This window comes from Homo sapiens, chromosome 5 (genome assembly GCF_000001405.40).
Source record: "Homo sapiens chromosome 5, GRCh38.p14 Primary Assembly".
Classification (NCBI taxonomy): domain Eukaryota; kingdom Metazoa; phylum Chordata; class Mammalia; order Primates; family Hominidae; genus Homo; species Homo sapiens.
The window spans coordinates 175,087,208-175,098,065 of record NC_000005.10 but is presented as its reverse complement, the minus strand read 5'-3'; the positions used below and the strand labels follow the sequence as shown (position 1 = coordinate 175,098,065).

Genomic DNA, 10,858 nt, shown 5'->3' with positions numbered 1-10,858 from the left:
GTGGTCACCCAGATTCCAAAACATTGAGGAGCATGTATGGATTCAGCAGAGTCAAAAACTTTGATAAGACCTGAAGGTGATTTGTAAATTGGAGAAATCATCTGAGATAAGATCACCACACACATCTGACAGAAATAGACCTCAGGAGCATGGTGAACTTTGTTAAGGGTCTGTCTGTTGGCCAACACTCTGAGGAACAAGGAGCAGGAGATGGGGCATTGGAAATTGCTGGGATGTGCATTGGCCTCTTTCCTCGTGCAGGTTGTGGAAATAAGATGAGCTTCCAGTGTACCTGATGGTTGGGAAGTGACATGAAAAGCCAGTGTCTGGCAAAGACCCACCCTGCCATGGTGGAAGGCCACCTCCCTGCTGCCCACCCCAGGGACAGCCCTCCTCCTCTGGCTCCCACAAACAGATGCCATCAAGGGGGCTCAGTTCTCCAGTCCTAGTCCAAGAAGAGCCCAGAATGCTGTACCTATTGCTATCCATATTCATCCAGCATCTGCTTCAGATGCTTTTGGCTAAGTAAATAACAATTTAAAACTCAACCTGACTTAAAAAACAAAGGTGATGTGTTGACTCACATGATTTAAAATATCCAGAAATAGGGATAGTGGGGCTTAACTCAAGGTTTGCCCCTAGGAGCCAACAGCAACAGGTATGATGAAGCGAGATAAAAATGTTCACCAAATGTTTTCCTCTTTGCCCAACATTTTTCTAAAACTGTTTATATTTAACTCATTTAATTATCATAAAAACACAATGACACAGGCATTATCACATTCCTTCTTTACAGATGAAAGAATAGAGGAACAGAGAGATTAAGGAACATGCCCAAGGTCGTGTAGCTTGTAGAGCAGAGGAACTGAGCTCCAATGCTTGGCTGTCTTGCACCAGAGTGCTGACTCTTAGCTACGGTACTGCGTCGCCTCTGCGTTAGGCTGAATTGGAATTGTTTGTTACCCTTGAAGAAGCCATGTTTTAGCAGGAGAGGCAGAGAGAGGAGATAATAACAAAGCAATGTGAGGCATGTGAAGCCATGTGAAGTAATACTGGGATGCACACAGCCTTGCAAATCTATCTGACAGCTCCATGCACACAGCAAACCGAATCCAAATTGCCTAAGACAAGCAGCCTTTCAACCCGTCTGGAGAAACCCTGGTGGTAATGGCTTCGGAAGTACCCTCCCCAGCTCTCTATTTAGGCTGTTTTTTAACGGGCTACATTGCTCATAATTACTTGTGTCTCCTTTAAGAGAGCAAAAATCCCTTGCCACTGGGAGTTTTTGAATTAACCCTCAGATGATTGATTTTGGCAGCCTCCTCTTGACATGTTAGGAAACTGGGGCATTAGTCAAGGCCCTGGGATGCCAAAAGCATCAGGACAAATGCAAGAGGAACGTCCCACGATGTGCAAGCGATAGCAGCAAGGGCAGAGCCCTGAGTCAGCCCAACATGGGGTGGAATCCCAGCTGGCCACTCACGAGCTCTGTGACCTTGAGCAAGTCATGCCTTCTCTCTAAGCCTCCATTCTCACCTGTAAAATGGAGATAATAATACCCACCTTTAACATCTCAGGATTAAATGTGGTAATACAATATATCCAGACTCCTTTAGTGTACTATGGGGTACATGTCAAAAATTCAATAAATGCTTGTTATTACTGAAATTTTCTTTTTTTTTTAAATTTTACTTTAAGTTCCAGGATACATGTGCAGAGCATGCAGGTTTGTTACATAGGTATACGTGTGCCATGTGGTTTGGTGCACCTATTGACCTGTCCTCTAAGTTCCCTCCCCTCTCCTGCCACCACCGCAGCAGGCCTGGTGTGTGTTGTTCCCCTCCCTATGTCCATGTGTTCTCATTGTTCAACTCCTACTTATGAGTGAGAACATGCAGTGTTTGGTTTTCTGTTCCTGTGTCAGTTTGCTGAGGATGATGGCTTCCAGCTTCATCCATGTCCCTAAGCATTCCTTTATACCAACAACAGACAAGCAGAAAGCCAAATCATGAATGAACTCCCATCCACAATAGCTACAAAGAGAATAAAATACCTAGGAATACAGTTAACAAGGGATGTGAAGGACCTCTTCAAGGAGAACTACAAACCACTGCTCGAGGAAATAAGAGAGGACACAAACAAATGGAAAAACATTTCATCTTCATGGATAGGAAGAATCAATATCATGAAAATGGCCATAATGCCCCAAGTAATTTTTAGATTCAATGCTATTCCCATCAAATTACCATTGACATTCTTCACAGAATTAGAAAAAAACTACTTTAAATTTCATGTGGAATCAAAGAAGACCCTGTACAGCCAAGACAATCCTAAGCAAAAAGAACAACGCTGGAGGCATCACACTACCTGACTTCAGACTATATTACAAGGCTACAGTAATCAAAACAGCATGGGACTGGTACCAAAACAGAATTATAGACCAATGGAACAGAACAGAGACCTCAGAAATAACACCACACATATACAATCATCTGATCTTTGACAAACCTGACAAAAACAATGGGGAAAGGATCTCCTATTCAATAAGTGGTGCTGGTAAAACTGGCTAGCCATATGCAGAAAACTGAAACTGGACCCCTTCCTTATGCCTTATACAAAAATTAACTCAAGATGCATTAAAGACATTAAAGGTTTTACATTTAAATGTAAAACCCAAAACCATAAAAACCCTAGAAGAAAACCTAGGCAATACCATTCAGGACATAGGCATGGGCAAAGACTTCATGATGAAAATGCCAAAAGCAATTGCAGCAAAAACCAGAATTGACAAATGAGATCTAATTAAACTAAAGAGCTTCTGCACAGCACAAGAAACTATCATCAGAGTGAACAGGCAACCTACGGAATGGGAGAAAATTTTTGCAATCTACTCATCTGACAAAGGGCTAATATCCAGAATCTACAAGGAACTTAAACAAATTTACAAGAAAAAACAAACAACCCCATCAAAAAGTGGGCAAAGGATATGAACAGACACTTCTCAAAAGAAGACATTTACGTGGCCAACAAACATATGAAACTTTCATTTATCACCTGAAGCATTTAGTGACTTCCAAACACAGAAAATCCTTATCTTTCTTGCACATAACTTTTGGGATCACTTAGCATGGAAGCTCAGTCCATTGCCCAGCAGTTGAAATCTTTTTCTATTTTTATTTTTTTAAATTACAGAATTAGAGGTACAATTGCAGCTTTGTTACATGGATATGTTATATAGTGGTGAAGTCTGGGCTTTGAAATTTTTACACGGTTTTATTGTTTGCCATGTACTGTTGCAAATTTGTGTCTCCTTCAAGAGAGGAAAAATCTCTTGTCAGTGGGAGTTTTTTCATTTACCATGAGAGTGATACAGTAAATTGCAATGCAGTAATTCCAGTTTAGAGACTGGAAGGTCAGTTAAAATTATGCATTTTGTTGGGAAGATTGTATCTTTCAGTTACATTCAAAAGTCTATAATGGTCTCATGATTCACCCTGCATGGATGCCAGCAGCCTAAATAACCAAGTAATTAAGCACAATATAGAAAGAGGCTTAGTTGAGGAAAAGTTTTAATTTGATAATATATTAATTCATACAGTGAACATTTACTGAGTATTTACTATATGCAAAGCACAGTTGTAACCGCAGGGAACAAAGCAGTAAATAGAACAGGCAGGGTCCCACAGCTGATATTCTCATGACCCGTTACCGTTTCTAGAGCATGGGGGAAGATGGACTGGAAGGGCAAAGGGTCCATGTAGGCAAGCCAAGAGTCTGTTACCCCAACACATACATTTCAAGTGAGACGTAGTGTGGTCCAAGGTAGGACAATGGAAATGGGCGGGGGTGGGGGGGTAGGGGTTGAGGGTTGGCAAGGAAAAACATAAAGATTTATTGAGAATGTGACCTCAATGTTGCATCAGCAAGGATGGGGTAGAGTGGGGAGTCTCCCACTGACTACAGTTGTGTCCAGCACTGGAATGTTAGGGGTGATTTGTGTGATTACTGTGCCCTGACAGCCCCCCCAGGAATCTAAAATTCTATCCCTTTCAAAACAGGAAAAATTTTAAAGCTCCATGCTTGGTTTTTGACACATAGCCACTGATATGAACTGAATGATTGTGTCACCCCCAAACTCATATGTTGAAAAGCTAATCCCCAACGTGACTGTGTTTGGAGCCTTTGGGACATGATAGGTCATGAGAGTGGAGCCCTGATGAATGGGATTGGTGCCCTTATAAGGAAAGACACTAGAGAGTTTGTCTGTTCTCTCTCTCTGTCCATCATGTGAGAACATAACCAGGAAGAGGAACCTCCCAGGTCTAAATTGGCCAGCACTTTGTTCTTGGACTTCCTGGCTTCCAAAAATGTGAGAAATAAATTTCTGTTACTTAAGCCACCCAGTCCTTGATATTTTTGTTATAGCAGCCTGAGCCAAGACAAAGACACCTTCAATGAGAACTCATAATGAAGTTCAGTTGCAGCTTGAATGATCTCCTTGCCTCCTGTCTCTCTCTCTCTCTCTCTCTCTCTCTCTTTCTCTCTCTCTCTGGTCTGTCTGCCTGCTCTGCAGCAGCTGGAGACATCTTCCTAAAACATACACTTAACTACAGTAGTCTCTTTGGTTTTCTTGTTTGTTTGTTTTTGTCTTTAGGAAAGCATCCGATTACCTTAACAAAGCCCACAGAGTTTGTTGCTCTCTGTCCCTGCCTGTCTGTAGCTCCGTCGCCCCACCTGCTCTGTACCCAGCCACCCACCCCAGGTCACTCACCACATCCTCAGCTGGCAAAGCCCTTCTCCACCATGACCCCTGGCAAACTCCCACTCACCCCTCAAGACCCAGTTCAAAGTGCTCTCCCCTGCAAAACATTCACAGACTCTTGAAGGTAGAGTAAAACCACTCCTCACTTTGTATTACCCTGGGAGTTTGTGCCTTCCTCAGCAGATGGCTTCTGTACTGTTCCATTGCCCCTGCTGCGGGAGCTGCAAATGGGTTATAGGAAACCTCAGCCCTCATGTATATGTGTGTTTGTGGAGATGGCTGCTGCCAGGACCAGGTCGCCTCTGGCAGTGAGCAGACAAATAGCAGGGGCAAGGTAAGGAGGGAAGAATAAGGGAGCACTATCAGTCAGCCTGAGCAGCAGAGTGAGGTCATGGGTTTGTCTTTCTCTAGTAGGCCTGCCCCCCTGCAGGGCTGGGGCATATCTCCCTCACCTGCAATCTACAGAGCTTGTGTGACAGTTTTATGTGTCAATTTGACTGGGCCAAGAGATACGCAGATATCTGGTTAAACATGATTTCTGGGTGTGTCTGTGACAGTGTTGTTGAAAGAGACTAGCATTTGAACTGGTGGACTGAGTCAAGCTGATGGCTTCCCCAGTGTGAGTGGACATCATGCCATCTGTTGAGGGCCTGAATAGAACAAAACCGTGAAGAAAAGCTGAATCCTCTCTCTGCCTTACTGAGCTGGATCATTGATCTTCTGCCCTCAGTACTTCTGTCTCAGGCTCTCAGATCTGGATTGGCTCTCGGGTCTTGGAATTATACCACTGGCTTTCCTGGGTCTCCAGCTTACAGACAGCAAGTCGTGGAACTGCGTAGCTTCTGTAATCAGGAGAGTCAATACCCTATAATGTAAGTATAATGTATACGTACACATATACATATGTACACATGTATACACACACACACACACACACACACAGTCTCACACATTTTATTGGTTCTGCTTCTCAGGAGAACCCTGGAGACTAGCACCTGTTTGCTGAGCAATGAATGCCCCCACTGCCTTCAGATGCTTCCTTCCACAAACAGCTTCTTGATTAATCTCTTCTGATGTTACCACCACCTCTCATCCAAAGGAATGAATAGGAGGATGCACTGAGAAATCAGGTAGATCGCCTGCCCAGTGTTAGATGTTGTGGGAGCTGCAGAGGTAGGAGACCCACAGTCCTTCCCCTCAAGGATGGCCCCATCTCCCTGGAGAAAGTGGAATGAACAGAAGACATCAAGTCTATGGCCAGGTGTGGTGGCTCACACCTGTAATCCCAGCATTTTGGGAGGCCTAGGTGGTTGGATCCCTTGAGGTCAGGAGCTTGAGACCAGCCTGGCCAACATGGTGAAACCCCGTCTCTACTAAAAATACAAAAATTAGCCAGGTGTGGTGGCGCACACCTGTAATCCCAGTTGCTCTGGAGGCTGAGGCAGGAGAAGCGCTTGAACCTGGGAGGCAGACCTTGCAGTGAGCCGAGATCATCCACTGCACACCGCACTCCAGCCTGGGCAACAGAGTGAGACTCCATCTCAAAAAAAAAAAAAGTACAACAGAAATTTGTTTTCTCACCAGTCTGGAGGCAGGATGTCTGAGATTTGTTGATTTCTCCTGAGGGCTATCTCCTTGGCTTATAGGTGGCTGTTTTCTCTCTATCTTCACATGGTCTCTTCTACATACATGTCTGTGTCTTAATCTTTTCGTCTTATAAGAATACTAGACATATTGGATTAGGGCCCACCCTAATGACCCCACTATAAGCTAATTACCTCTTTGAAGATTCTGTTTCCAACTACAGTCACATTCTGAGGTACTGGGAGCTAGGACTCAGCATGTGAACTTGCGGGAAGGCATAATATAGTGCATAACAGTAACTTCCTTAGCGAGGGGCTGTATGGATTGCTCCAGTCCTCAGAGCAGAAACTGAGTAAGGGAGCTGAGCTGGGGGAAGGTGAGCAAAAGATTCTTGGGCAGTTCCTGAGTCCGCTGCCTCTGCCAGGGTAGCAGGCCAGCAGTGGACAGACAGCCAACCCTCCTGTCACACTCGGCTACCTTGCAATCATTTCCCTTAGAGATCTGAGTGACTGTAAAATCTGCTGAATTCAAGGAGATGCCTTTCTGTCATGCCCTCAAAGAACTCACCAAGCAGATGTCTCTTGCTGCAATGAATGATAAATCAGAGCCCATAATGGAAGAGGCTGGCATCCTTGGCTCTCTCTATACGTGAAGGCTTTCAGTCCTCAGAAGGGCTGAAAGAAGCCAAATTATAGAGTTCACTTGGAGGCTTCAAAAGCTGGAGTTGAAACTATTTGAGGTTTTTTGTCTTTTGCTTCCTCCTACCACACACTCTATTACTGCTACAGGCAAAACTTATAAAGAGCAATTTTCTTTTCAATAGAATTCCTTTTCTTTTAGAATATAAAATACAAAGTCCAATTTGCATCACATTTTTAGGGAACCTATTTCATGCCAGATACTATGCTAGTGCTTTCGTTCCTATTATATCAGCTAACCCCCAAAATAGCCTTGAAAGATACATGCGATGATTCCGATTTTACAGCTGAAGGGAACTGAGGCTCCATGGGGGTAAGGAAGTTTCCAGAGACCCTCTTCTATGGGTTGACCAAGCCAGGACTTGAGCTCAGGTTTTCAGAGCTCGGAAACCTAAGCATAATGCACGTGGCTTGCTAACTTTCTTAGTACCAGAAGTACCTGGGCAAGAACCTGTGATGTGAGGTCAGCACAACTGTGGCACAGACTAAGAACAGAGCCTTAACCTCATGCGCCAGCCTCCACTCGTGCCCTTTGGTGCCATTCCTAACCATCTGCTCTGAGCACCTTCCCACAATTTTTTTAATTTCTTTCTTTGACCTCCTTATGTTCTCTCTGAACTGCAACAGCTTGGCAGTGTGGGCTCAAATGCATCTGCTTCTCTATAGCTCTACTCTAGGAAACAGATTTATTCCTCAAAAGTCTCCTACAATCTGAGTGCCAGAATTTCTAGTTCAGGTGTGCCACCAGCCCTCATCATAAAATCAGAGGTGTGTTCTGGGGAGGTGATATAAACAAACCAGAAGATAAGCACCCTATTCCAGGATGCAGAAAACTCTGTGAAATCATCTTGGGCAGGAGATGGAAGGAAGATTTAATAAAGCAAGATTATTACTAGCAAAAATAAATTTGAAAATAAGGTAACAGTGCAATTAGGTTTGCTCCATGGAATCATCATCATGACAGCCGGCACCTACGGGTCACTTCCTTTGTGCCAGGCTCTGTTCTAAGACCACCATGTGAATTAACTCATTTACTCTCCATCATGACTCCATAAGGGGGCATTACCACTAACCACATTTTACAGAGAAAGCTGAAACCCATAAAGATTGAATAATTACTCTACTTCATGTATTTGGAAAATAGCAGAGGCAGATTTTGAACCCGAGCAATCTGGCCTCAGAACCCAGGCTCTCAATCATGCTGCCTCAGTGTAAAGCAAAGTGATTGCTGCATTCCCTTACCGAGAAAGCTTTGGCTCTGAAGCTCCTTTGAAGGTGAGAATAGGTGGGGCCACCACTTCTCCAAGCATGTTCTTTCTAGAGGGGTTCATGAGAAAAATTCAAGAGGTCTAGTAAGATCCTGGAATAAGGTCAATGAAAGCAATTGCTCCTTTCCTAAGAGTTTAACCACATAAATCACATAAACATCAGGGTGTACAGTGGCTTAAAAATAGAGAGTGTTTCAAAGTCCAGGAAAGAGGAATAAAAATATTGACAAAATCAAAAGAAGGCTTGTCAGCTTTCAACCCTGGAAAACACAGGAATCAGGATGCCTTGAACAGTTAGGAGTAGTGGGCCCAAAGCAGCTGACCCCCTGTCAGGTTGTTGTGGGATGAATACATAACTTGAAGCTGAAAACTATTCAATCACCCAATTAATTCCACTTCTTCTGGTCTAACCTTACCATTAGGGCAGATTCTGCAGACTGGTTCATTCAGTCCTCTCTGACATGCCTTCCTGTATCACCAAGGCAGGGAAGCTATGAAGTGTGTTTCCCAGACTTCCTCGTAGCTAAAGTTCTGTCTGCAACCTGGGTCCACCATGCAAGAGTTGGCAGGTGGAAGCGAACACCTGGCGGCAGTCAGGCAGGGTAGAGCTCGTGCCAAGCTTGTTGGCAGGGGAGTTTGGATCTTCCAGAGCAAGGATGGTGGAGCTTCTTGGTCAGCTCTCATTGTGCCGAAAGAGCATGAGATAGGGCAATAAGATTTCCTTTAGAATTATCCCATGGTATGACTGGGTCTGTTTTTGGCTGCATTCGTGTCTGACTCTGTAGTATCTAAACATGCTTCCCCAAATCTTCTAGAAATTCTAAGTTTCCATTAGGGTAATGCTGGCTGCTGTAACATATAAACTCCCAAATATCTCAATGGCTTAATGCAAGAGAAGCATATTTTTCTCTTACGTAAAGTCCAAAATGAGGGTTCCTGGTCAGTGGGTAGTTTTCCTTTCAAGCATCTGTTTAGGAATCCAGGCTTCTTGCAACCTCAGCACATGGCTTCCAAGGTTATCATGGCTGTCTACATTGAACTGATAAAAGTAAAGACCATGAGGGTCTGCACATGGGTGGCTGTTATGGGCCAGGCCTGGGAGTGGAGCACATTGTGACTGTTCACATCCCATTGGCTAGAATTCAGTCACATGGCCACATCTAACCACATAAGCGTTTTTAAAATGTATCCTAGATGTGTGTCCAAAAAAAAAAAAGATGAAACAGATCTGGTGAGTAGCTGACTGAGCTTTGTAATATCCTCTGCAAACCACTCCTCTGTTATAAACTCTGCTCTGCTTAAATAGGCTTGAGTAGAGTTTGTGGTCTGCAATAAGAACCCTAATACATCAGAGCACTTTATATGTTTCACTTGCCTCCTTTTACAACGTGACTTTCAGGGGGAAATAAGGATGCAGTTCCTAGTGCCCGTGCCAACTCCATTTCTTATTGTAAATTTATATCCTGCCATTCGTGTCTATATATTAGTCTCTTGTGAAATTGACTCACATGTTTACACGCACACACACTCACACTCACACATATTCCATACATACACTAATTAGACATCTTTTCTATAGCCTTATCAGTACTCACAAGCTTAAGACAGATGACTTTCTCCCTAGTAAATTTCTCCATGGGTCCTGGGTGGTCAAATAGTGAAAGATGCTGGGCAGGATAACTTTCCAACTATAGCTCCTTAACTGACTCCAGTACCCAAAGCCTGAAGAGATGCTTAGTGTCCACCCTTGTTCTCCAGGAGGCCAACGAGCCTGGCAAGACATCCAGGACCAACTATGTAATTTGCAGAGCCCAGTGCAACATGAAAAGGTAGGGTCCTTGTTCAAAAAGCAGGAAAGTGCTATTAAAAATATCAAAACATAAGCTTTTTCCTTCTTCATGGTCTCTTTCTTGACTTGTCATGGTGGTTTTTATTTGCTATTTAATGTCTAAATAAATGAAGAAAGGTTAAAATTATCAATGATTAGCATGTATGTGATCATTCATTTTATATTGTGCAATGCCAATTTTATAATTCAAACCTAAGAGCATTTGACCATATGCAGAACTGCCAAAATTATACAATTCATACCTCAAGGCTTGCGTGTGCATATGTATTTCATTTTTATGGGAATGGTGGAAAAGCTGCAGAAAACTAGCTCAACTGTTTTCATTTTGCTCTTTCAGATGTTCCTCCAGCACTCTCTGTTTTGGGTTTAATGGTGAGTAAGGAAGGACTGAAAGAAAAAGAACTATGGATTGCCCTATCTTTTCCATTTCAGTACAAATGATTGGCTAATTCAGGAAAGTAAGACCAGTAAGAATATATATAATAAGCTTCCGGCCGGGCGCGGTGGCTCACACCTGTAATCCCAGCACTTTGGGAGGCTGAGACGGGTGGATCACGAGGTCAGGAGATCGAGACCATCCTGGCTAACACAGTGAAACCCTGTCTCTACTAAAAATACAAAATTAGCTGCGATTGGTGGTGGGTGCCTGTAGTCCCAGCTACTCAGGAGGCTGAGGAAGGAGAATGGCGTGAACCTG

General features: G+C 43.6%; 1 long non-coding RNA gene across 1 annotated transcript; it reads left to right on the top strand.

Moving 5' to 3' along the window:
- The first annotated feature begins 5,501 nt into the window (after nt 1–5,501).
- On the top strand, nt 5,502–10,186 carry LOC107986484 (uncharacterized). Its single transcript, XR_001743010.1, has 3 exons — nt 5,502–5,634; nt 5,737–5,892; nt 10,071–10,186. It is a non-coding gene; the product is annotated as an uncharacterized LOC107986484 (long non-coding RNA).
- Nucleotides 10,187–10,858: the final 672 nt, after the last annotated feature.